This window comes from Homo sapiens, chromosome 15, assembly GCF_000001405.40.
Source record: "Homo sapiens chromosome 15, GRCh38.p14 Primary Assembly".
Lineage (NCBI taxonomy): Eukaryota > Metazoa > Chordata > Mammalia > Primates > Hominidae > Homo > Homo sapiens.
In genome coordinates this window covers 45,530,690-45,557,869 of record NC_000015.10, presented here as the reverse complement: position 1 = coordinate 45,557,869, position 27,180 = coordinate 45,530,690, and the positions used below count along the sequence as shown (strand labels likewise).

Sequence of the window (27,180 nt, the reverse complement as noted above, 5' to 3'; positions counted from 1 at the left end):
GGGGGAAGCCTAAAAGTAGATGTTAGGTGTAGATCTCAAGGTGTTCTCATGGGAGGAAACCTAGAGGTGCTGGTGAAGGGTTGTTGGGTGGGTACATTGGTGGGGGTGGTAGAGGACTATGTAGAGATAAAATAAAAGATTCGGAATGGCTGATATTTCAGGAGATGGAGGGGACAATGAGAAAGGGTGACCATGCCTGTGACCAGTTCTTGCCTTTTGAATAGGTACCCCACCCCACACATACCTTCGCTATTTTTATTTCATATTGTTTCTTTAAGATTTCTTCATAAAACAAAAATACTCCTGAGCATGCAGCTTCTATCAGCTACATTTTAGTTACCAGTTGAGCCAGTATGTGAAAGCCAACTCCTGTAGGAAATACAGTGTGATGGTCAGCTTTATGTGTCAATTTATCTAGACTACAGTCCCCTGTTATTCAATCAAACACTAATTAAGGTGTTTCAATGAAGGTAATTTGTTGATGTGAATTAAATCCATAATCAGTTGACTTTATATAAGAGAGATTATTCTAAATAATCTGAGTGGGCCTGATTCAATCAGTTGAAAGTTTTTAATTGCAGAACTAAGGCTTCTCTGCAGAAGAAGAAATTTATCTGTAGTTAACAGCTTCAGCTGGTGTCTAAGAGACCAGGCCTGCTCTTCTAGGGTGTCTTGCCAGCTGCCACCATCACATAAGCCAATTCTGTGCAAAAACTCTCTTAATGTATACTTCTGGCTGGTTTTGTTTGTCTGGTTGAACCCTGAGGGTTGGAGGTTCAGCATAAGGAGGCTTGCACGGAGGAATAAAGGAAGAGAATCAGGCAGCAAAAGGAGTGCTGGTAGGGGAGTTGATTCGATAATTTTGCCCAAGGCAGGTATTATTTGGGGGGGCGGGGGAAAGAAGGGCAAAAAAGACAGGAGCCAGAGGAGACCAAGAATTCAAGAATGAAGGTGGAAAAGGTGAGGAGACTGGCTATCCCACAGACTCACTCTTCTTCAGCAACTTCAGTTGTTGGCAGTGCAGGAGTGAGGGAAAGGAGGATTGACTTTCAAATGGGATCTATCTGCAGACTGCTTGAAAGTTATTCTTCAGACAGCACAAGCTCACTTTGCCTTCTTTGTGCATTTCTTTTTTTTTTCCCAAGCCAAACTGTATCCAGCTTTATTAAAGATAATTTCCATAAAGAATCATGGTATTTTGGGCAGGACATGGGCAGACAATCGTTAACAGTATACAACAACTTTCAAACTCCCTTCTTCAATGGACTACCAAAAATCAGAAAGCCACTGTAAAACCCAATGAAGTCTTCATCTGATGCTCTGAACCGGCAAAGTTTAGTGAGGGTTGACATTTCACATTTAGCATGCTGTTTCATAGCTTTTCATGAACCGACCCTGGCTTTCAGGAAGTGAAAGGAAAATGACAGAATTTATCTGAAGATCCACAACCTAGAAACAGGAACCACTGCTCTTTTGAGGGCAAAGTCCAGATTGCCTGACACACTGGTAACCAATTATTGGGGGTCAGGTCCCAGAAGATGTCTGGGTTTAAGGGATTTAAGTCCATTCTGAAAGGTAGAAACAGAGAAGAGGACATAAAAAACGAATTTGTTTTTCCATACCACAAGGCTTTTATACCAAGGTGGCCATGTGTATCAAAGTCAGGGAATCCCTCTTCCTGGGACCCAAGAGGAAGTCTCTCAAAACCAGAAGGAAAAGGTGTTTTCCCCACATCAGTCCAGCTTCAGGGGCTTTCTATTAGTGACATATGGCCCTTCTCCCCAAAACAACAATGAAGTATTCTGTGTACTAACATAGCTTAAAAAAAAAAAAAAAAGCTAAACAAAATCTGCATTTTTATAAAACTTGATTAAAAAATAGTATTTCAAACTGTACAGTCACCAGAAGTACACAGTTATCAAAAATGCACACACTTCACTTGGCATCTCCAGCACCTTTAGCTTTCTGTGCCTAGTCTGTTTTGGCATCTCCATTTTCTGCAGGGTTATTCCCCTCCTTGCCAGCATCAGCTTTTCCCTTCTTCTCTGTAGGTACCTTCTCTCTCTTCTTTGCAGAGGCCTTTCTGGGCTTCGGCTGTGGCTTTGGAGGAGCAGGTTTAGCAGACAACCTTGTGGATCTTCTCTGCAGTTCCTACTTAACCTTGGTTTTATCTCCTTTAGCATCCCCTTCAGCCTTTCTCTCGGGCAGGGTGGCAGCGACAGTGGTGGGACATAGGCACTGGGCAGTGGAGCACGGGCTTTGGTCGGTCTAGGGGTCATCGCCTCTTCTTCTTCACACTGCTCTGCTTTGTGCATTTCTATTCTTTTTTGTAGCCAGAGAAGTAAATGCATATCTTTGCAACTAACACTTCCAGACTCATCTGCAAAATCAAGTGCACTAAATAAATAAATAAACAAATAATCAATCATGGGTCCTTTTTAGATAGTGTTTCCCCCCAAATACCATGAATAATTTCAGTAAATTTTTGATAAATACTAGTAGGTATTGTAAATTAAATGTGTATTTTAATAACTCAGATGCAAGAAGATCTAAAGCTGGAATAAATTAGATGTTTGGATAAATATACACTTAGGTCAGCTAATAAAAAGATGGCAATGTATGTGAGCTTTAAAAGGAAGAAGATGGCCCTTGACTCTGGTACAGCCTTCAAGGGACTAGCAGAAGTCAAGTGCATGGGCTTGACAAAAACCAGAAATAAGCAAAACATTAGAGATCCAAAACTTGGCAAACCTATAATTGTAAGTTGAAAATAACCTGCAATTAGATGAGAAATGTAAAAAACAGGCTAAAATTTTTCATATACAAATTAAATAAAAAGAAATAAGTTGAGAAAAATTTGAAAATCTTTGTGGTAAAAATTTCTTCTGAAAGCAACAAACTATAATATACACCATAAATGGATAAATCTCAAAAACATGCTGAGAGAAAGAAGTCCACACTAAAAAGTGTACACTGTGTGATTCCTTTTATATAATGGTGTAAAACAGGTTAAAACTCATTTGCAGTGGAAACTAATCAAAACAATGGCTAGCTCTGGGGGAATGGGGATGCAGAAAGGGATTGACTGGCACGGGTAAGAAGGAACTTTCTAGGGCAATTATTAGTCATCAGGAAAATACAATTAAATGCAAATTAAGACTATGATGAATTGCCACAATTAAGACTACAACAAATTACCACAATTAAAACTATGCATAAGGATAGGCATATACATCAGTAGAATTGAGAGTCCAGAAATAAATCCATACATTTATGGTCAGCTGATTTTCCACAAAGGGATCAAAGCAACTCAGTAAGGAAGGAACAGTCTTTACAACAAATGGTGCTGGGACATCTGGATATCCACATGCAAAAGAATCAGTTTGGACCATTTCTTCACATCATGTACAAAAGTTAACTCAAAGGGGTCATACACCTAAATGTAAGAGATAAAGCTATAAAACGCTTAGGAGAAAACACAGGTGTAAATCTTCGTGACTTTGGATTAGCCAACAATTTCTAAGATACAATATCAAAAACACCAGCAGCAGCAACAACAGCAACAACAACAACAAAAAACAGATAAATTAGAATTCACCAAAATTAAATGAAAAAAAAAAACCCACCTGACAATACCAAATGTTGGTGAGATGAGAAATGATCACTCATACTTTCCTAATGGAGGTGTAAAATGATATAAACACTTTGAAAAATTAGCAATTTCCTACCAAGTTAAACATATATCTATCCCATAACCCAGGAATTCCACTCTTAGCTCTTTACCTAAGAGAAACGGTGAGTACCTATGAATATTCTTACAAAATTCTTTCTTTTTTTTTGAGATGGAGGCTTGCTCTGTCACCCAGGCTGGAGTGCAATGGCACAATCTTGGCTCACTGCAACCTCCGCCTCCCAGGTTCAATCTCCTGAGTAGCTGGGATTACAGGCACCTGTCTCTACACCTGGCTAATTTTTGTATTTTTTTATAGAGACAGGGTTTCACCATGTTGGCCAGGCTGGTCTCAAACTCCTGACCTCAAGTGATCCACCAGCCTCAGCCTCCCAAAGGAAAATTATTTTTATGAAGAATGTTGTTGACTCAGTAGCCCCAGTGCAAGGAAGTTTCTCAAGCAAGATGACAGCAAAGAAGCTCTGGTGGTCCCTATTTGGGGGAAGAGTTCAAGCTTAGGATATCTCTTTGGAAGTCTTTATCAAAATACCCAGCTATCAAGAAAAGTCAGTAACCGCTTTTATTTTTTTTTAAAGAACTTATCTGATCTTAGAAACTAAGCAGAGTTGGGCCTGGTTAGTGCTTGGATGGGAGATCTCTTGGAATACTGAGTGCTGTAGGAAGGCCAGGCATCGTGGCTCACACCTATAATCCCAGCACTTTGGGAGGCCATAATGGGAGGATCACTTGAGCCCAGGAGTTTGAGACCAGCCTGGGCAACAGAGTGAGATGCCATCTCTACAAAAAATAAACCAAAAATTAGCCAAGCATAGTGACATGCACCTATAGTCCCAGCTACTTGGGAGGCTGAGGTGGGAGGATTGCTTGATCCCAAGAAGTTGAGGCTGCAGTGAGCCAAGATGGGCACACTGTACTCCAGCCTGGTCAACAAAGCAAGACCCTGCCTCAAAAAAAAAAAAAATTCACTGCAAAGAGAGAAAAAAGAAAGATAAATTGACCCCCATAATTGTGCTTAATCTGGCCAAAAGTTGAACTGAAATGGGATTATCGTTCCTGTTCTGGTTACCAAGTATTACATAACAAGCTACCCCAAAACAATTTTGTAGGTCATGAATTTAAGCAGAACTCAGTTGGAGAATTCTGTTCCATGAGGCATTGGTGGAGGACACTTGGCATTGATCTGGCACGTAGAGTGGTGTGGCGGGTCCAAGCTGGTTTCCCTCGTATTTCTGATATCTTGGCTAGAAGACCAGGCTAAACAGGGATTACTGACCACAGCATCTACACATTGCCTCTCTAGCACAGTGGCTCAGGGTAGCTGGACTTTTTATGATGACAAGAATCTATCAACAAATGTCCTAGTTAACAAGGCAGAGGCTGCATGGTCTTCTGTAACTTAGGCTTGAAATTCACATAGCAACACTTCTGCCATTCTCTATTAGTCAAAGCAGTCATGAATCCACCCAGATTCAAAGGAAGGGAATATAGATCCCACACTCAATGGAGAAATGTCAAAGAATTTGTGATCATCTTTTAAAACCATTACAATCCTACTGGAAGATCCTTTAATAAAACACTGTACAGGCCATGTGCCCTGGCTGTCATAAGAGCCAAGTATAAAGGAAAGAAAAGGTATAAATAATCTGGTATTGCTGGGGACAAATCTGGGCTGGGGACAGAAAAAGGAAATATTTTGCTACAAGTTCCTTGTCTTGCCTATGATTCCTGGTACACCACTATGGAAACACTAAACAATCAAAATTGTACTGCCAAGCAAATCTTTTTTTGCGGGGTGGTGTTGGGGGGAACATTTTGCATGGGATGGAAAAGAGAAGTAAGGCAGGGAGTCTTCATTCTCTAACCCTGTAGTCAGTGAGCATTAAGTATCTTTTTGTTATTAGGACTAATAAAATAATAATGTTATATTTATTTGTATATTGCTTATAATTTTCAAAGGCTTTCATGTAGGTTATCCCATTTGATCTTGGCAATAATACTGTGGGATTAATATTATTAACATCTTCATGATACAGATGAAGATGCCAAGGCTCAAAGTCAATAATTTCATTGCCAAGGTCTCAAAAAGGTTATAGTAAGTACCAGGGTAAATCAAGACCCAAAGTCCAGAATTCCAAAGTGTGGTTCAGATACCTTGTTACAGTCATCAAATATTAATTCTAGATTTGGGGATTTAAATCCCATGCATTCTGGTGACAAATGCTCAAAACCAAGCAGAGAAAGGAAATCTAACAATATAAAAAGAAACACGAGTCAGACTTTTGGTCAGCTCTGTGGTGACGTTAAGGCACAAGAGTGGAGTGATTTGATTCATAAACTTCCCTTCTGCAACAATACCATGGAGCACAGAACCAGTGAATTTCCTCACTACAAATCAGTGTAAGATCCTGACTCTCATACATAACACGATACAACCACATTTGGGCTCTTTCATGGCATGAAAAGGAAAACACTCAGAATCACTTTAGCTTTGAACCTGCAGAATCATCCATATACATTCATATTCAATGCACATGCTTCTTGAAAAAAATCAAACAATATATAGAAGTATAGAAAGTGTCAGGCCTCTGAGCTCAAGCCTGCATGTATACATCCAGATGGCCTGAAGCAAGTGAAGAATCACAAAAGAAGTGAAAATGGCTGGTCCCTGCCTTAACTGATGACGTTACCTTGAGAAATTCCTTCTCCTGGCTCAGAAGCTCCCACACTGAACACCTTGTGACCCCCCGCCCCTGCCCACCAGAGAACAACCCCCTTTGACTGTAATTTTCCACTACCTACCCAAATCCTATAAAACGGCCCCACCCCTATCTCCCTTTGCTGACTCTCTTTTCGGACTCAGCCCACCTGCACCCAGGTGCTTAAAAAGCTTTATTGCTCACACAAAGCCTGTTTGATGGTCTCTTCACACGGACGCATGTGACAGAAAGTAATGGGCCCGGCACAGTGGCTCACGTGTGTAATCCCAGCACTTTGGGAGGCCGAGGCAGGAGGATCATGAGGTCAGGATTTCGAGACCTGCCTGGTAAATATGGTGAAACCCCATCTCTACTAAAAATACAAAAATTACCTGGGTGTGGTGGCACACACCCGTAGTCTCAGCTACTTGGGAGGCTGAGGCACAAGAATCACTTGAACTCAGGAGGTGGAGGTTGCAGTGAGCCGAGATGGTGCCACTGCACTCCAGCCTGGGCAACAAAGCGAGACTCCATCTCAAAAAAAAAAAAAAAAAAAAAAAAAAAAGAAAGTAAATAAAGTCTCTCCTCCCTACTCTTTATTCCTAGACTTTGGTATATATCCTTCCAGTTTGGTGTGCGAGTTTATCTACACACACACACACACACACACAAATTTGAAATAAATAGTATTATTCAAGTATCATTCTGCAATGTGTTTTTCTTACTTAAAATTTGTATAGAGGTATCTCATTTTTTTCTATTGGCTACATAGCATTACATATGACTAAGCAATCACTCATTGAAAAAATATTTTTTACTTCATTTTATTTTTCTATTTAAAAAAATTTTTTTAGGCCCAGCACAGTGGCTCACGCCTGTAATCCCAGCACTTTGGGTGGCTGAGGCAGGCAGATCACAGGGTCAGGAGTTCGAGACCAGCTTGGCCAACATGGTGAAACCCCATCTCTCTACTACAAATACAAAAATTAGCTGGCCGTGGTGGCACATGCCTGTGAACCCAGCTACTTGGGAAGCTGAAGCAGGAGAATTGCTTGAGCCCAGGAGGCAGAGGTTGCAGTGAGCCGAGATTGCGCCACTGCACTCCAGCCTGGGAGACAGAGCAAGATTCTGTCTCAAAAAATAAAATAAATTTGTTTTTAATTTATAGAAGTAACATTTGCACATGTTTGAAAAATTTAGACTGTACCGAGTTGTCTTAAATGAAAAACAAAAGTCTCTTGCCACCCGTCTCCACAACACCCACTCTCCACACCCATTACCCAGAAGATTTATTAATAGTTTGTTTTTAAGTTATATTGTTGATTACCATTGAATCGGTATATGTAATATATTTGTTTTTCTTGATTTATTAACTGTAAATATTATCTATTGACTCATCACAATAAAAAATTAGGAATGGTTTAATGAGTTCAACACAGAATGAAATATGGCTTTTGGCTATGAACAGTCTCAGCCTGAAGCTAATAATGAGTCATTTTTTGTGGTAACATAACTTGGTGGCTATAACCAATATTTTTCTTACAGAAATATCATAGGCTGGGCACAGTGGCTCATGCCTGTAATTCCAGCACTTTGGGAGGCTGAGGCGGGCGGATCCCTTGAGCCCAAGAATTTGAGACCAGCCTGGGGAACATGGCAAAATCCTGTCTCTACAAAAAGTACAAAAATTAGCTGGGCGTGGTGGCATATGCCTATGGTCCCAGCTACTCGGGAGGCTCAGCTGAGCCCAGGGAGGTCAAGGCGACAGTTAGCCGAGATCACGCCACTGCACTCCAGGCTGGGTGACAGAGTAAGACTCTGTCTCAAAAAAGAAAAAAAGAAAGAAAGAGATATCGTAGCTCAAAGCTCAGTAATAATTTGGATTTAGATACAGATGAATTCCTCCAGGAGATGGAATATCTCAGTTCACATCATGGCTCTGCTTTCAATTAACTCTGTGACTGTGAACAAATTACTTAACTTCTCTGTGCCCTAGTGTCTTGTCTCTTTAAATAGAAATAATAGCTATCTCACAGATCTGAAGGAGGATGAGATTAAACCATGGTTTTGAAAACAATTTGTAAACACAAAGAAGATTTTGCTTTAGCCACCTCTGTTATTCCAGGAGGCTGGTGTTGGGCAAACGGGCAGAGAGGTTGGGCCACAAGGTCGAGAATCCTCATACGGTCCTGCTATTTCCTCAGGTTTTGAAGGGGCTGTGTCGTCTGCAGTATAAACCTGGGGTTCGTCGTCACGTGCCAGGAAGATTTAGGACACGTACACACATGAGAAGTTTAGGAGCGGAGGTTTAAAAGGCAGAAGAGAAGAGAAAGAGAAACAGCTTCCTCTACACAGAGAGGGATCTCCGAGCAAAAAGGAACAGCTGGTGGTGAATGCACCAAGTTTTATAATTCAGTTTGAAGAGGCGGTATCTGATTTACATAGGGCTCACAGACTGGTTGGATCAGTTATGACGTTTACGTGGTGCGCCAGGAAGGCTGGTCTCCCCACCCTAATCTTCTCATGCAAATGGACTTCCCAGTTGACCTGCGCCATCTTGTCTGCTCCTTACAATACACGTGGCTGGCAGAGAAGGGAAGATGGAGCCTCTGTTTTGAAAATGCCTAGTCCTTAGTTCCTGCTAGCATGCACCCGTGCAAGCTCCCAGTTTGCAGGCTGCTCTTTGTTAGAAAATGATTTGGGGCTGCTTTTCATTAAAAAGAAAAGCCTTAGGAGGACTCCCATGCCCTTACTATCTGCCTAAGTAATCCCTTCTTAACTCCTATGTCAGTTTCAGCCCCTAAGATATCTGATGGAATGGAAGTGCCAGGAGTGGAAGATGAACCAGCAGTTAGGTTAGCAGTGTCTGTCTCTCATGTATCCCAAGAATGACAGTTTCTAAAGCAAAAGCAGAAGCTGGAAGCAGCAGAAATAGATGCCTTTTGCCATTGGTGGTAGCAATTGAGGCACCACTCCTTTGGCTTGGAGCAGGACTGACGTACCTGATATAGGGACAGGGAATGTGATGGGAGAAGCCTATGAGTGTAGGCATCAGATGTCTAGGTGTTTGAAGATCTGTCCTTTCTGTTCCTAGAACTAGATCCTGGGACAGAAGAGCAGAAGGGGAGAGATGGCTACAGATGGGCCTATGTCATTCTCTTGGGTGACTACTACAGTCCCATGGCATGAAAGTCATATGGGAGAGCTCAGACCCCAGAAGTCTCTACCCTCTCTCTGCTTTCTTGAGGTTAGTTTTCATTCTCTAAAAATGATCTTTCATTCACTGATTCGTAGACACACAAGGAAAGTTTGTCCACAGGCCAGGTGCAGTCGCTCACACCTGTAATCCCAACACTTTGGGAGGCTGATATGGGAGGGTCATTTGAGGTTAGGAGTTCGAGACCGGCCTGGCCAACATGGTGAAACCCCGACTCTACTAAAAATACAACAACAAAAAAAAAAATTAGCAGGGCATGATGGTGAAAGCCTGTAATCCCAACTACTCGGGAGGCTGAGGCACAAGAATTCCTTGAACCTGGGAGGCAGTGGTTGCAGTGAGCCAAGATTGCACCACTGTGCTCCAGCCTGGGTGACAGACAGAGACTCTGTCTCAAAAAAAAAAAAAAAAAGTTTGTCCTCTAATTAATCTAAACATTTCCATGAGAATGCAGCTGCTAGAGTTCCCTTTGAGAGACAGTACTAGCTGGATTTCCTAGGCCAACTAAGAATTCCTAAGCCTAGCTGGGGAAGATGACTGAACCCACCTTTAAACACGAGGCTTGAAACTCAGCTTACACCTGACCAATCAGGTAGTAAAGAGGGCTTACTAAAATACCAATTAGGCTAAAAGCAGGAGGTAAAGAAATAGTCAAATCATCTATCATCTGAGAGCACAGGGGGAGGGACAATGATTGGGATATAAACCCCAGGCATTCGAGCAGGGAGGGGCAATCTGCTTTGGGTCCCCTCCCCTTGTATGGGGGCTCAGTTTTCACTCTATTAAATCTTGCAACTGCACACTCTTCTGGTCCATGTTTCTTCCGGCTCGAGGTGAGCTTTCGCTCACCATCCACCACTGCTGTTCGCTGCCATCGCAGACCTGCCATTGACTTCCCCCCCTCCAGATCCGGCAGGGTGTCCTCTGCGTTTCTGATCCAGCGAGGCACGCATTGCTGCTCCCGTTGGGGCTAGAGGCTCACCATTGTTCCTGCACAGCTTAGTGCCCAGGTTTGTCCTAACTGAGCTTAACACTAGTCACTGGGTTCCACGGTTCTCTTCTGTGACCCACGGCTTCTAATAGAGCTGTAACACTCACCGCATGGCCCAAGGTTCCATTCCTTGGAATCCGTGAGGCCAGGAACCTCTGGTCAGAGAACAAAAGGCTTGCCACCATCTTGGGAGCTCTAAGAACAAAGACCCACCCGTTAACACCTTGTTGAGGGCAGCATTTCACAATTCTGAAGTACACTCCCTTGTCAGACCACAGGCTTGTTCATGGTGGACTTGATCAGATTAGGTTTTGTTTGTTTTTTTTTTTTTTTTGATGGAGTTTCACTCTGCCGCCAGGCTGGAGTGCAGTGGCGCTATCCCTGCTCACTGAAACCTCCACCCCATGGGTTCAAGCGATTCTTCTGCCTCAGCCTCCCAAATATCTGGGATTATAGGTGCCCACCACAACGCCTGGCTAATTTTTTGTGTTTTTAATAGAGATGGGGTTTCACCATGTTGACCAGGCTGGTCTCGAACTCTTGACCTCAGGTGATCCACCTGCCTCAGCCTCCCAAAGTACTGGGATTAGAGCAGATTAGGTTTTAATTGTGCTATGTGCTAGATAATGGACAGCACTATGTGAGATATGGTTGGTATGAGGAGGGAACAATTGTGAGGCACTCCTCAAGATTTGCAGATGAGAATGAGAATCACTTAAACCTGAGGTAGGGAGGATGCAGTGAGCCAAGATCGCACTACCGCACTCCAGCCTAGGCGACAGAGCGAGACTCTGTCTCAAAAAAAAAAAACAAAAAACAAAACAAAACAAAAAAAACCATTTGCAGATGAGAGAATAAGCCACTCTCTGAAGGTTATTTTAGCAAGAATTCAATGCAAAGGAGGGAATCAGTTATCTGTTGGAGTAAACTAGGAGGCTGTAAATGAGCAATCAAAGAGATTGGGCCCCTCAAAGATGCTCTGTGAGTATTTTGGGGGAGGCAGGATTGTACTGAAGTTGTAATTTAGTAAACAGAGATCAAATCAGTTTTTTCTGGAGAAAGACATGAGAACAAAAACAGGTAGTTACGTCATTTTATACAGATAGTAGGTACTATCATTTGAATACGGTCCCTCCAAAATTCAGATGTTGCCAAAATGATAGGATTTTTGTTTTGTTGAGACAGGGCCTCACTTTTTTGCTCAGACTGGAGTGTAGTGGCATGATATCGGCTCACCGCAACCTTCGTCCCCAGGCTCAAGTGATTCTACTGCCTCAGCCTCCTGAGTAGCTGGGATTACAGGTGCACACCACTACTGCCTGGCTAATTTTTGTATTTTTAGTAGAGACGGGGTTTCACCATGTTGGCCAGGCTGCAATGTGATAGTTTTAAGAGGTGGGGCCTTTAAGTGGCAATCAGGCCATAAGAGCTCCTCCCTCAGGTTTGGGATTAAGTGCCTTAAAAAAGAAGCTTCGGGCAGCATTTGGTTAATTTACCCTTCCACCTCCCCTCCAGAGGATGAGGCCCTCACCAGACAACCAAACCTGCCAGCACCTTGATCACGGACTTCCCAGCCTCCCAAACTGTGAGAAATAAATTTCTGTTCTTTTTAAGTTGCCCAGTCTAAGGTATTCTGTTATAGCACACACAGACTAAACCAGTAGTGCATTAATCTTTTGTGCTTGGATCCTACGGCTATCTGCCCTTGCTAGGATTGCAGGTGGACCCAGAAGTCTTAATCAAATTAGTTTTCTAGGTTGTATTTCTGGTTAAGGTAACTTGAATAATCAGGCCACCTGACTGTTTTATTTTTTTCTGTAAATTACTGTCACTTTCTTTAGATTTTTAAAATTTATATTAAGAAAAATTTCAGGCTGGGCGCAGTGGCTGACGCCTGTAATCCCAGCACTTTGGGAGGCTGAGGAGGGTGAATTACCTGAGGTCAGGAGTTCAAGACCAGCCTGGCCAACATGGTGAAACCCTGTCTCTGCTAAAAATACAAAAAATTAGCTGGATATAGTGGCTCATGCCTATAGTCCCAGCTATTGGAGAGGCTGAGGCCAGAGAATCGCTTGAACCTGGGAGGCAGAGGTTGCAGCGAGCCGAGATCACTCCATTGCACTCCAGCCTGGGCGACAAGAGCAAAACTCTGTCTCAAAAAAAAAAAAAAAGAAAGAAAGAAAGAAAGAAGTTTCAAACACGCAAAAGTGAATATATATAATTAATACTGTGAAATACCCTATAACTAGATTTAATCATTATCAAGATTTTCCTACACTTGCTTCACTTTCTCCCACTTTTAAAAACTAAACTAAACTATTTTAAAGAAACTTAAACAAATTTACAGAAACAAACAAGTCCATTAATAGGAACAGACACTTTTCAAAAGAAGACATACATGTGGCCAACAAGCATATGAAAAACAGCTCAACATCACTGACCATTAGGGAAATGCAAATAAAAACCACAGTGAGATATCATCTCACACCTGTCAGAATGGCTATGGTTAAAGTAAAAACATAATAGGTACTGTCAAGGTTGTGAAGAAAAAGAAATGCTTATACACTGTTGGTAGGAGTGTAAATTAGTTCAACCATATGGGAAACAGTGTGGTGATTTCTCAAAGATCTAAAAACAAAACTACCATTTGACCCAGCAATCCCATTACTGGATATACTCAAAGGAATATAAATCATTCTATCATAAAGACACATCCACACGTATGTTTGTTGCAAGACTATTCATAATTGCAAAGACATGGAATCAACCTAAATGTCCATCAGTGGTAGACTGTATAAAGAAAACATGGTATATATACACCATGGAATACTATGCAGCCACAAAAAAGAGTGCGATCATGTCTTTTGCAGGGACGTGGATGGAACTCGAGCCCATTATCCTTAGCAAACTAATGCAGGGACAGAAAGCCAAATACCACATGTTCTTACTTATAAGTGGAAGCTAAATGATGAGAACACATGAACACAAAGAGGGGAACAACACACACTTGGGCCCACTGGAAGGTGGAAGGTGGGAGCAGGGAGAGGATCAGGAAAAATAACTAGTGGGTAGTAGGCTTAATACCTAGGTGACAAAATAATCCATACAACAAACCCCCACGACAAGCGTTTACCTGTATAACAAACCTGCACGTGCACTCCTCAACTTAAAATAAAAGTTAAAAAAAAGAAAAATTTCAAACATACAAAAGTATTCTAGGTTTTTAAATAAGTAAAAGGAAAAAAGTGAAGAAAATAATATAATGAATATATATAAGGTATAATGAATAGTATGAAATACCCTATAACCATGTTCAATCATAATCAAGATTTTCCTACACTTGCTTCACTTTCTCCCACTTTTATAAACTAAACTATATAGCCAGGCGTGGTGGCTCACACCTGTAATCCCAGCACTTTGGGAGGCTGAGGTGGGTGGATCACCTGAGGTCGGGAGTTCGAGACCAGCCTGACCAATATGGAGAAACCCTGTTTCTACTAAAAATACAAAATTAGCCGGATGTGGTGGCACATGCCTGTAATCCCAGCTACTTGAGAGGCTGAGGCAGGAGAATCGCTTGAACCCGGGAGGCAGAGCTTGCGATGAGCCGAGATCACACCACTGCACTCCAGCCTGGGCAACAAGAGCGAAACTCCCTCTCAAAAAATATAAAAATAAAAAAAAAAATAAAAATAAAAAAACTAAACTATATTAAAGAAAATCCTAGACCCCTCCCCACTGCCATGGTGTAAATGTTTCTGTCCCCCAAAATTCATATGTTGAAATCCTACCCCACCCAGATGATATTAGCAGGTGGAGCCTTTTTGGAGACGATTAAGTCATGGAGACAGAGCCCTCATGAGATAAGTGCCAAGACCCCAAGAGGCCCCTAGCCCCTTATACCATGTGAGGACAGAGGGAGAACACAGCCATCTCTTAAGCAGGAACCAGGCCCTCACCAGACATGGAATCTGCTGGCACCTGGATCTTGGACTTTTCAGCCTCTAGAAATGTGAGCAAAAAATTCCTGTTGTTTCTAAGCCACCAAGCATATGGTATTTTGTTGTAGCAGCCCAGGCTGACCGAGATAACCATTCACTTTAGTGTGGATCTCTAAAACATATGAACACTTTCTTGCATACTCACAATATTTTCCTTTGTATTTACTAGTTTTCGTAAGCTAGGTTAGTGGGAGATGAAGGCACTCTCAGGCTGTTAATAAAATCAAGTTTCAGACTCTGATTTCACAATGAACTTACCAAAGTAAAGGCCACTTTGTGAGGACTCTTCTAATCACCAGGATTCCTCTGTCTGAACATGTTTTAAGGATTGAACAACAATCCAGGCCCCCCTTGCTTTTCACATGTACAAGTCTATACACACTTGTGTGCAAATGCATTCACCATGCACACTGATATGGTTTGGCTCTGTGTTCCCATCCAAATCTCACCCCATTATCCCCACATGTCAAGGACAGGACCAGGTGGAGGTAATTGGATCATGGGGGCAGTTTCCCCCATGCTGTTCTCATGATAGTGAATGAATTCTCATGACATCTCATGGTTGCATTAAGCATCTGGCATTTCCCCTGCTTGCACTCACTCCATCCTGTTGCCCTGTGAAGAAGGCACTTGCTTTTTGCCTTCTACCATGACTGCAAGTTTCCTGAGGCCTCCCAAGCAATGTGGAACTGAAAGTCAATTACACTTCTTTCCTTCATAAATTTCCCAGTCTTGGGCATTTCTTCATAGCAGTGTGAGAACAGACTAATACACACACACAAACACATGCAAAACCAAGGGAAAAAATGAAGTAGGCTGGGCCCGGTGGCTCACGCCTGTAATCCCAGCACTTTGGGAGGCTGAGGCCGGTGGATCACCTGAGGTCAGGAGTTTGAGACCAGCCTGGCCAACATGGTGAAACCCTGTCTCTACTAAAAATACAAAAAATCAGCTGAGTGTGGTGGCGCATGCCTGTAATCCCAGCTACTCAGGAGGCTGAGGCAGGAGGATCGCTTGAACCCAGGAGGCGGAGGTTTCAGTGAGCGGAGGGAGATCACACCATTGCACTCCAGCTTGGGCAACAAGAACAAAACTGCGTCTCAAAAAAAAAAAAAAAAAAAGAAGTAAACCCCTTCTTAAGCCCAGTAAATCAGTTTAAATCTTTTAAAAAGCATAACTTGAATCTACTGTCACAATTCTGGTAGGCTGTTGAGATGAGTGGATATGCTACCTACACAGAGAACACAAAATGCAAAGGTTAACATCTATGCTGGCCAATTTTTTTTTTTTTTTTTTTTTTTGAGATGGTCTCGCTCTCAGGACCTGATTAGAGTCAGAAACTTGATTTTTTTTGGCAGCCTGAGAGAGCCTTTATCTTCCACTAACCTAGCCTGCAGTGAGCTATAATCATGCCAGGCTGGAGTGCAGTGACTCAGTCATAGCTCACTGCAGCCTCAACCTCCCAGGCTCAAGTGATTCTCCTGCCTCAGCCTCCCAAGTAGCTGGGACTACCACATCCATATGCTGCACCACCATGTCCATATGCTGGCCAATTTCTAAAAGTGGCTTCAAAAAGAGTAAATAGAACATCAGAGATATAGGAAAACATCAGCTTCTGGAGAAGGGAACTGAAAAGCATAAGGTACCACAAACAGGCAGTATTTCATGCCAGGGCAAAATTCTGCTGGTTTTGCCTTATCATTCCTATCTTGCTGTGTAAGAATCTCAATATCTTCCCCTGCCTTCCTCCATCATACTCATGTGCCCAGGGGAATGACTTCACAGGAAGTTCCTTCCTTTCCCTTCCTTTCTCTTCTTCATCCCTACCCTAACCCCCCAACCCGCCAAATGCCTCTTCCACTAACTCCACAATGTCTTGATTTTAAAAACTAGGGACACATTTCTTTGGTCTAAGACATGTTTAGCACATAGCATAGCATCTGGCATACAGACTCTTTTTTTTTTTTTTGAGACAGAGTTTCACTCTTGTTGCCGAGGCTGGTGTGCAATGGCACGATCTCAGCTCACTACAACCTCCACCTCCCGGGTTCAAGCGATTCTCCTGCCTCAGCCTCCTGAGTAGCTAGGATTACAGGCATGTGCCACCACACCCGGCTAATTTTGTATTTTTAGTAGAGACGGGGTTTCTCCATGTTGGTCAGGCTGGTCTTGAACTCCCTACCTTAGGTGATCCGCTGGCCTCGGCCTCCCAAAGTGCTGGGATTACAGGCATGAGCCACCACCCCCGGTCAGTATACAGACTCTTAAGGAATATTGAATGGATGGGTGGATGGATAGATGGATGGATGATTACTGTTTTCAATACAAGGATAATACTTCAAGACCTACCCAACTTCTGATGGAAGTGCAACATGACACTGAGGGGCCATTGGCAAAATTGGGTAACTGGTCATAACAACTGGCTGTATACTCAGGAGGTTGGAAAAGCAAAAATATGACATACATACCCTCCCCACCACCATTATGAACCAACAAGCCTAAGAAAGGAGGAAAAAGGTCAGAGTGAAAAGACAATGGGCACCTGACTCATACAAACCTGATGCAAATCTTGATTCCTAACTGTGTGACTTAGAACAAAATATTTATAAAATTTCATTTATTCCATGTACACAATGGGAACAATAGTGTCTACTATGAAGGATTGTTATAAGGATTATATTAAATAGTGGGCTGGGCGTGGTGGCCCACACCTGTAATCCCAACACTTTGGGAGGCCAATGTGGGTGGATCACTTGAGGCCAGGAGTTCAAGACCAGCCTGGTCAACATGGCAAAACCCTGTCTCTACTAAAAATACAAAAAAAATGAGCCAGGTGTGGTGGCGCATGCCTGTAATCCCAGCTAATCAGGAGGCTGATGCCCAGGAATCCCTTGGACCCGGGTGGTGGAGGTTGTAGTGAGCCCAGATTGTGCCACTGCACTCCAGCCTGGGTGACAGAGTGAGACTCTGTCTCAAAAAAAAATAATAATAATAATTAATTAAATAGTGTGTGTAAGGTTCCTAGCACAGTGGGCTCAAAATATTATAATTTTTATTACATGACAATATTTATTATCATTTAGAAATTTATAAAGGGAATCTGGAAAATTATGGTTCATTTGTGAAATAGGCAAGCTAAATAAATAAAATTAATTTCAGAGAAGACTGTCAAGATGATATCTTTAAAGAGAAAATCTGACAAATTTCTGTGAGGTTTTTACATGTTTAAGTGGTTAAAAAAATGGAAAAGTAGATAAACAACAGCTTAGTATTACTCACCTAGAAGCCTTAATAAAACCTTGGACAGGTTTCCAAAGGACAGGCTAATAATAAAAGTTGCGTGAAAGTGGAATGTTTTGTGAGGCAATAAGGAACTAGCTCAGAAGCAAAAATAATGGGTGGGCCTGTTGATTCAAGGTAGGGGAGGGAACTAGAGGCCCAAGTGACAGTTCCTGGGAAGGCAGTGGATATATGAAGGGCACGGTAGTCACATCTCTAATTCTGGATTTCTCGATGGAAACTGTGCAGTTCTCAACAGAAAGATGGAGTCCTGTGCACTTGGGGGAATCTGGGCAAGTGATACTTGGGTGTCAGGCACCCACAGAATGGACCTCAATAATAGGAAGGGAGAAGGAGACTAATGTTAATCTAGTAGTGACTAGATCAGGCCATGTGCCAGGCACATTATCTCATTTAAGTCACCATAACCCGACACTAGTTATGTTATTACCTCCATTTTACACAGAAGGACACTGAGGCTCAAAGAGATCTTATAATTCATCTAAGTTCACTCTGCTAGTAAAGGGAGGGAACTCTCATAGGCATCAATGCCCCAGGCAGCAGGCTGTGGCCTACTGGGTTGCTTGCTGACCACCTAACTCTGTGCCAGGCACAGTGCCAGGTGCAGAAGATACAGTGGTGTGCAAAGATACAGTCCCTCACTCTCTTGGAGCTTAGAGTCTAATGAGAGTTAGTAGCAGCCATTAGTCAAATAATGCCACTAATGAAGATAACATTACAAAGTGAAACATGTAACAAATTGACTCATCTAGACTTTGGGGCATGATGGGTGCCATGCAGGAGAGTGGCTCTAGAGAGCTTACCTAATTAACTAGCTAAAAGAATGATGAAGAAAGGTATTCCAAGTGGAAGCTGCACATGAAAAGGCCTGTGCTCAGAACCCCAGAAAACACAAGTTTACTGCAGCTACACTACAGCTCAGAGGAAAGAGGCAAGTGCCTGAGCTAAGCGTGGAGGCATGGAAGAGGTTGGAGACACAATCAGATTTCCATTTTGAAAGGTCCAGTGTATTTTCACAGGAGCCACTAAGATGCTTGAACAGCCACAAGCAAGCATTCTGGTGGGTTCCGGGGCCCCAGCTATACCTGGCCCAAATGAAGGCAGTTGGGTGGTATAAATACTGCTGCCTTAATAGTACATTTGAGGGCCGGGCACCGTGGCTTATGCCTGTAATCCCAGCACTTTGACAGGCTGAGGCGGGTCCATCACTTGAGGTTAGGAGTTCGAGACCAGCCTGGCCAACATGGTGAAACCTGTCTCTACTGAAAATACAAAAATTAGCCAAGGATGGTGGTGGGTGCCTGTAGTCCCAGCTACTTGGGAGGCTACTTGTGAGGGCAATAGGGTGAGAGTCTGTCTCAAAAAAATAAAAAATAAATAATAAATAAAAGAAAATAGGCCAGGTGCTGTGGCTCACGCCTGTAATCCCAGCACTTTGGGAGGCTGAGGTGGGTGGATCACGAGGTCAGGAGTTCAAGACCAGTCTGGCCAATATAGTGAAACCCTGTCTCTACTAAAAATACAAAAATTAGCCAGGCATGGTGGCTGTAATCCCATACCATGGGCACCTGTAATCCCAGCTACTTGGGAGGCTGAGGTAGAGAACTGCTTGAACCCAGGAGGCGGAGGTTGCAGTGAGCCGAGGTAGCGCTACCTGGGCTCACTGCACTCCAGCCTGGGCAACAGAGTGAGACTCCGTCTCAAAATAAGTAAATAAATACATAAATAAATTTTTAAAAACAGTATATTGGGAAGTGAGGATTGATGAAACCAAGAGCCTAAGTCTCAGGCATCTGTGCTAGGAAAGGACATACTAACATGTGTAAATGATCTGGAGGACAGCCTATGCGATAAAACCTCTAACAACACTTCTACGCAGATAGGTCTAGATCAGGGGTCAGCAAATGCTGGGCCAAATCGCGCCAGTGCCTGTTTTTGTACAGCCTGCAAACTAAGAGTGGTTTTTACATTTTTAAGTGGTTGAAAACAATGGAAAGAAAACTAATATTTTGTGACACATTAAAATTATATGAAAGTCACATCCCAGTTTCCATAAATAAAGTTTTATTGGAACACGGCCATGCTCATTTGTTTATTCTCTTTGGCTGCTGCTACAACAGCAGAGTGACTGACTGACACCTGAGGATTGCTGCAAAGCTAAAATTATTATTATTATTATTATTTTTGAGACGGAGTCTTGCTGTGTCGCCCAGGCTGGAGTGCAGTGGAGCGACCTCAGCTCACTGCAAGCTCCGTCTCCCGGGTTTACACCATTCTCCTGCCTCAGCCTCCCAAGTAGCTGGGACTACAGGCACCTGCCACCACGCCCGGCTAATTTTTTGTATTTTTAGTAGAGATGGGGTTTCACCGTGTTAGCCAGGATGGTCTCGATCTCCTGACCTCGAGATCTGCCCACCTCGGCCTCCCAAAGTGCTGGGATTACAGGCGTGAGCCACCGCGCCTGGCCTAAAATTATTATTTTTTAAAAAGAACAAGAAGCAGCATTATTCAAATACTGAATTATATTTTTTTCCAAGTCTTCTTAATTTGTTTTGAAATGGATCATCTCCTGCCAAACAAAACTACAGAATACATCTTGTGTCTGTCACACATATGCCTACTCTCTGTTTTGCTAAGAAAGAGGTGTTTAATCCTCTTTTCTTTCCCACAGAGAAATGCAACAACTGCTACCATAAGAAGAGCTGCAGACCAATAGTGGTGGAAGTGAAATTATTTATTATCTGGCCTTTACAGAAAACGTTTGCCAATTCCTGAGCTAGATAATCAGAAGAGCCTATAAATCTGACCATGTGATCTGACAATTGACAAATGAGCTCTCGTGGGAGCAAGTGCAAAATAATGCACTTTGAGATAAAAATATCCAAACTATTTACAAAAGGAAGACAGGCCTATGAGCTTTGAGGTCACAACTCAGGACTAAACACAACTGGGAGGATTAAAGGCAGCTAGAGTAGTAGTACGTGAATGTCCTCCCCTAAATTATAACAATCAGTACACAGTAGAGGGGGTTGGTTATCTGTGGGCCTCACCTGATGTGGGCCTGGGGAAAAATTTCCAGGAAAACTAAACTAGGATTTTCCATTTTCACTTAAAAATTACACATAGGAAGAGGCAGAGGTTGCAGTGACCCCAAATGATGCCACTGCACTCCAGCCTGGGCAGCAGAGCAAGACCCTGTCTCCAACCAACCAACCTTTTTCTCCTTTCAAAACTTTTGTTCTAGGCTGGGTGCGGTGGCTCACGTCTGTAATCCCAGCACTTTGGAAGGCCAAGGCAGGCGGATCGCCTGAGGTCAGGAGTTCAAGACCAGCCTGGCCAACATGGTGAAACCCCGTCTCTACAAAAATACAAAAATTAGCCAGGCATGATGGTGAGTGCCTGTAATCCCAGCTACTTGGGAGCCTGGAGTGGAAGAATCACTTGAACCCGGGAGGTGGAAGTTGCAGTGAGCCAAGATCGTGCCATTGCACTCCAGCCTAGGTGACAGAGGGAGACTCTGTCTCAACAAACAAACAAACACACAAAAACCTTTGTTCTAGCTCTAAGGCAACTTGGCTTCTCATATCACTGGTCCTGTGAAGGGGGCCATGCAGGGAAATGGCAAAGGTATATCCCCCAGGATTATGAAGATAACCACAACAGTGATCTGCTGAGTCTCTTAACGGCAGTTGTTTAGCATGCATTAGCTTCCCCAGCCTGACCCACAGGTGTCATTTCCACACCTGCAAAGCTGCAGAACTGACCTGGGACCTTGATGGCTCTAGCAGGGTTCTGACCATGGGGGCCCTGCCTGGATGTGGCTGGCCTCCCTCTTGGACAACTCTGACCTCTTCCATTTTCATGTAACAGGAGTCACATCCGGAGTTCCCTGAGAAGACATAACCCAGACCAGTGTGCTGCAGGGCCCAAAAGGAACAAGGTGTCTTTCCCAAATAAGATTCTCTCCCCACCCAGAAAAGACTCCACCAATATCAGGGTCCCAGAACCTAGTCTAATGCCCAGGTAAATTAGTCCTAGTAAACTGAAAGTCCCATGTCCTGGGAACCCCCCTCACTTCCAAGCAAACCAAGTTGGTCACCTGCCAGACAGGTTCCTCATTTACAATAGGCCTCTTATCCTACTGTTCCCCAGGGCTCACCTGGGGCTGCTCCACAGTTTCTGCTGCCCCAAGCCCAGCACTCAGAATATTCAGAGCTGCTCCTTCTTGGGAAGGGTAGAGGACAGCATGGGCTGAGGGGGTCACTGGGGACAAGATTGGGATCAGAGAAGATCAGGAGACTAAGGAGAAGGGGTTCCCAAGGAGCCCCAGCTGTTAGAGAGTTGGATCTAAGACTCTGTCTTTAATGCCTGCTTGTGCTTCTGTTCATACAATGCGGATTAAACAGTTACCGGAATCAGGAAAGTTTTTCAGTATTTACATTGTTTAGGGATAAGGAAGAACTACTAAAGGGAAGGCTGCCTTAAATCCTATTGCAAATGAGCAGAATGTAAATTATTCAAATATAAATAACAAAAAGGAGGGTAAAACTGTTGGTCACTATAAAATAGCTGTAATAACTGCAGTAATTTATATTTAATTACCATGTGGCATAGGGATTATGAGACACTGCGTCATGCATATCATACACCAAGCTCTTTGTGATAAGGGCAACAAATTCTGCTCCATTGTGTGTGCTCTTGGGGTCAGCTTAAAATCACTAAAGATAAAATTTGGCTTAGTCTTGGGATTTGCTTCAGGGAACACAGGCAGTTCAACAGCAGGTGAACTTGTTACATTTGATTCTGGGAGGACCAACATAAAGATACCCCAAAAAAAATTAATGTCATCTTTATTTGTAAGGGAATTCTGGAAAAAGTTCAAAGTACTTTGCAGATTTTAATCTAATTAATTCTCACAATGACCCCTCAAAGGAGTTTATACAATGGCCCTCATTGTTTGAAGCCACAAGTTACTAGAGGCCACAAAAGAGTCACTTTGTCTGCAGTTGCTTCTTTGTCCTGGCTTGATTCGTAAATGTTATAATGTTCTTTGAAATAGATATAGTATAAATATGAACTAAGAGTGTATTAATAATCACTGATCTTATAAGACACATTGATATCACCACTTGAAAAAATTCCTTAGAAATGGCCTTACACTCCAGCTTAAAGAAATAGAAATGTTTATGTTAAAGGAGAATTTAAGGTTATGGATAAACTCTCTATGATTAAAATATTTGCGTATATTTGTCCATGAGTATTTACTGGGTTCCTGCTGCAAGTATGAGATCAGGTGCTATGGCTGCAAAAACAGCTTAGGATAGGAATGAAGTAACAATGTGTGGTGGAGTTCTAAATAAGTTCGAAATAAGTCAGAATGCGTCATTAATAAACCAAGGACTGGGTTTAGCAATCCTAAGAAGAGACGAATGTAAGTGGAAAATTCTTTCTTTTTTGAGACAGAGTCTTGTTCTATCGCCCAGGCTGGAGTGCAGTGGCGTGATCTCGGCTCACTGCAACCTATGCCTTCCAGGTTCAAGTGATTCTCATGCCTCAGCCTTCCGAGTAGCTGGAATTACAGGCGTGCACCACCACACCCGGCTAATTTTTTTGTATTTTTAGTAGAGATGGGGTTTTACCACATTGGCCAGGCTGATCTTGAATTCCTGGCCTCAAGTGATCTGTCTGCCTTGGCCTCCCAAAGTGCTGGGATTACAGGGGTGAGCCACCACCCCCGACTGAGAATTCTTGATGATTAGCATTTGTCCATACCCTTGCTTTGTAGTTTAGTTCAGGTGGCATGGTCTTTAATGTCTCTTTCTGGTAAAGCGGTAAAGGAAGATGCTTTCACATACAAAATCTTGTTTGATTCTTACAGTGTCCCAATGAAATAGGTAAGACAAACATTATTTTCCACTTTTTACAGACAAGAAAATAAGCTGAACAATTATTAATATTACACTGCTAGGGGTCACAGTGAACGGATTACAAAATTAGATGCTGAATCAGTTTCTCTGAGTTCTCTTGTGGTGCTCCTGTCTACGATGAAACTCCCAATGTATTTCCAAGTTCAGCCTTCCACCCTCAACTTTAAGCTCCTCTAGCCCAGCCACCGCCTCAGACTCTGGGGCTGGTATCCTAACTCCCAAAACCCCTTCTCATCTTGGACCTCCTATTCCTGCTAATTTCAGCCAGATATGCTTAGAGAAATCCATAGGAACATTTACTTTAAAACTAAGGGTCTCAGTTTGGCCGGGCGCAGTGGATCATGCCTATAGTCCTAGCGCTTTGGGAGGCCAAGGCAGGCAGATCACCTGAGGTCAGGCATTCGAGACCAGCCTAGCCAACATGGTGAAACCCCATCTCTACTAAAAATACAGAAATTAGCAGGCATGATGGCACATGCCTGTAGTCTCAGCTACTTGGGAGGCTGAGGCAGGAGAATCGCTTGAACCCAGAAGGTGGAGGTTGCAGTGAGCCGAGATTGCACCAATGCACTCCAGCCCAGGCAACAAGAGCAAAACTCTGTCTCAAAACAAAACAAAACAAAACAAACAAAAAAAAAAAACTAAGGGAAAGCAAAAAACAAAGCTATGAGAACAATGAACTTGACTAAATTTCGGTTTTGGCTGGCAGGTTGGTTTGCCTTACGGGGTAGATGGGCTCTTGACCCTCTCCTTTATCTCCTCCCTGTCCAAAAGGGGGCCTTTGCCATCCTTGGGCAATTCTCTTATCTATTTTGGGTCCTTCTCCTTCTCTTTCTCCTCCCTGAGAGGAGGTATTAAATTGAAACTCCAGCCACTCTGTCAGAGGCATTTAAACCAGAGCAACTCCATCTTGAATAGGGGCTGGGTAAAATAAGGCTGAGACATACCGGGTTACATTCCCAGACAGTTAAGGCATTCTGAGTCACAGAATGACATAGGAGGTCGGCACAAGATACAGGTCATAAAAGACCTTGCTGATAAAACAGGTTGCAGTAAAGAAGCCGGCCAAAACCCACCAAAACCAATATGGGGATGACAGTGACCTCTGGTCATCCTCACTGCTACCCTCCCACCAGCATCATGACAGTTTACAAATGCCATGGCAACGTCAGGAAGTTACCCTACATGGTCTAAAATGGAGAGGCATTGCCCGACACGGCAGCTCATGCCTGTAATCCCAGCTCTTTGGGAGGCTGAGGCAGGTGGATCAAATGAGGCCAGGTGTTTGAGACCAGCCTGGCCAACATGGTGAAACCCCATCTCTACTAAAAAATACAAAAATTAGCCATCCTGAGCGACAGAATGAGACTCTGTCTAAAAAATAATAAATAATAAAAAGGGGAGGCATGAATAATCCACCCCTTGTTTAGCATATAATCAATAAATAACCATAAAAATGGGCAACCAGCAGCCCTCAAGGCTGCTCTGCCTATGGAGTCGCCATTCTTTATTCCTTTACTTTCTTAATAAACTTGCTTTCACTTTACTGTATGAACTCGTCTCAAATTCTTTCTTGTATGAGATCCAAGAACCCTCTCTTGGGGTCTGGATCAGGAATCCTTCCTGGTAACAACTCATAGAAGGAATAAACTATTACACTCACTGTAGTTGTGTATCACATCACTAACCCTTGTTCCACGCATTCAACAACTTTCATCCCCTCCTGAAGAAGATAAGGGGACACATTCTAAAACATCCTATAGGAATCTCCTACGGCCACATACTCCAATAGAGATGCATTCTTGGGATGGGGAATACGCAGAATTTGAACCTCAACCAAGTAGCATCTTCTCCCATATTTCACTTTTAAAAAACTTTTCCACTTTCTTTTTGCTCATTTTCAATGGGGATTTCACAGGATGATGCTGAAGTCTCAAGGTTCTGGCAAGTCATTGATATATGAAACAGGGATCTCTCCTGACATGCTTCAGAGTCTAGATGCTTTTCTATAGAGCATTCCATTTTTGGGCAGAAAGAAACTGAGCAGATAGTGTGGGGTAATGGTTAAGAGATTGAGCTCAGAAACAAAGCTAATCCAAATTGAGTTCTTGCTCTGTTTGCTAACTGCATGATCCTGACCAAGATACTTAACCTCCCTGAGACTCTATGTCTTCATCTACATAAAAAATAACAGCTTGGGGCACATGTCCTCAGGACCTCCTGAGGCTGTGTCAAAAGTAAAAAAAAAAAAGGAAAATAAAAATAAAAATAGCTGGCATTGATTGAACGCATACTGTGTGCTAGGAATTATATGTGCTAAGTTTTACATGCTTTACTGGCATTATCTTATTTAATCCTTAGTACAACCCTTGTGAAGTGGGTACTATTATTATATCCATTTTATATGTAAGAAAATTGAAGCATAAAGAGATTAAATAGTTTGCCAGAGACCATACAACTATAAGTGGTGAGGCCAGGACTCAAACACAATCTGTCTGACTCCAAGACCCATGCTTTCAATCACTACCTTCATTACAGTGATGTGGTAATGACTAAATGAGCTAATGTAAGTCGGGTGCCCTCATAGTGCCTGGCACACAAGCCTTAAGTATCCTAGCTATGATATTATTTTCAGTAGGTTTTTTTGTTTGTTTTGTTTTTTTAATGAGATGGAGTCTTGCTCTGTCGCCTAGGCTGGAGTCAATGGCACAATCTCTGCTCACTGCAACCTCCGCCTCCCAGGTGCAAGAGATTCTCCTGCCTCAGCCTCTCAAGCAGCTGGGATTACAGGCACCCGCCACCACAGCCAGCTAATTTTTGTTGTTGTTGTTGTTTGAGACAGAGTCTCGCTCTGTTGTCCAGGCCAGAATGTAGTGGCACGATCTTGGCTCACTGCAACCTCTGCCTCCCGGATTCAAGTGATTATCCTGCCTCAGCCTCCTGAGTAGCTGGGATTACAGGCGCGCACCACCAAGACCTGATAATTTTTGTATTTTTAGTAGAGACGGTGTTTCACCATGTTGGTCAGGCTGGTCTCGAACTCCTGACCTCGTGATCCACCTGCCTCAGCCTTCCAAAGTGCTGGGATTACAGGTGTGAGCCACCAAACCCAGCCCTAATTTTTGTATTTTTAGTACAGACGGGGGTTTCACTATGTTGGCCAGGCTGGTCTCAAACTCCTGACCTCAGGTGGTCTACCCACCTCAGCCTCCCAAAGTGCTGGGATTACAGGCATAAGCCACAACACCCAGCCATTTTTTTCAAGAGATATCTGGACCAGAAAACAAATTTTGACATAGGAAATTTTATGCCCATCCCTTTCAACTGCCCCAAGGTATGTGTCTTGCAATTCAGTTG

At 43.0% G+C, this 27,180-nt stretch overlaps 1 non-coding gene and 1 pseudogene across 2 annotated transcripts in view, besides 4 other annotated features; both read right to left on the bottom strand.

Annotated features, from left to right (window-relative positions):
* Positions 1 to 1,139: 1,139 nt before the first annotated feature.
* Positions 1,140 to 27,180, bottom strand: part of HMGN2P46 (high mobility group nucleosomal binding domain 2 pseudogene 46) — a 45,595-nt pseudogene continuing 19,554 nt past the window's right edge. Inside the window, exons 4-6 of the transcript NR_022014.1 lie at positions 21,661 to 21,785; positions 10,703 to 10,790; positions 1,140 to 2,397 (exon numbers count right to left, since the gene is read on the bottom strand). The product of NR_022014.1 is annotated as a high mobility group nucleosomal binding domain 2 pseudogene 46 (transcript). The remainder of the gene's footprint in view (positions 2,398 to 10,702; positions 10,791 to 21,660; positions 21,786 to 27,180) is intronic.
* Positions 8,216 to 9,415: an enhancer, noted in NCBI's record as "BRD4-independent group 4 enhancer chr15:45840653-45841852 (GRCh37/hg19 assembly coordinates)". NCBI's record gives its function as "activates an origin of replication core promoter dependent on BRD2, P300/CBP, MED14 and CDK7 cofactors, and independent of BRD4, by STARR-seq in HCT116 cells {active_cell/tissue: HCT116}" and the evidence as "EXISTENCE:reporter gene assay evidence [ECO:0000049][PMID:35650434]".
* Positions 8,732 to 9,040: a silencer, noted in NCBI's record as "fragment chr15:45841028-45841336 (GRCh37/hg19 assembly coordinates)". NCBI's record gives its function as "represses an EF-1alpha promoter that drives an FKBP-Casp9 reporter gene in an ReSE screen in K562 erythroleukemia cells {active_cell/tissue: K562}" and the evidence as "EXISTENCE:reporter gene assay evidence [ECO:0000049][PMID:32094911]".
* Positions 10,020 to 10,519: an enhancer, noted in NCBI's record as "H3K4me1 hESC enhancer chr15:45839549-45840048 (GRCh37/hg19 assembly coordinates)". NCBI's record gives its function as "activates a minimal SCP1, AML or CMV promoter by ChIP-STARR-seq in naive H9 embryonic stem cells {active_cell/tissue: H9 hESC(naive)}" and the evidence as "EXISTENCE:reporter gene assay evidence [ECO:0000049][PMID:30033119]".
* Positions 10,520 to 11,021: an enhancer, noted in NCBI's record as "H3K4me1 hESC enhancer chr15:45839047-45839548 (GRCh37/hg19 assembly coordinates)". NCBI's record gives its function as "activates a minimal SCP1, AML or CMV promoter by ChIP-STARR-seq in naive H9 embryonic stem cells {active_cell/tissue: H9 hESC(naive)}" and the evidence as "EXISTENCE:reporter gene assay evidence [ECO:0000049][PMID:30033119]".
* Positions 20,491 to 20,619, bottom strand: SNORA41B (small nucleolar RNA, H/ACA box 41B). The gene has a single exon (NR_145777.1). It is a non-coding gene; the product is annotated as a small nucleolar RNA, H/ACA box 41B (small nucleolar RNA).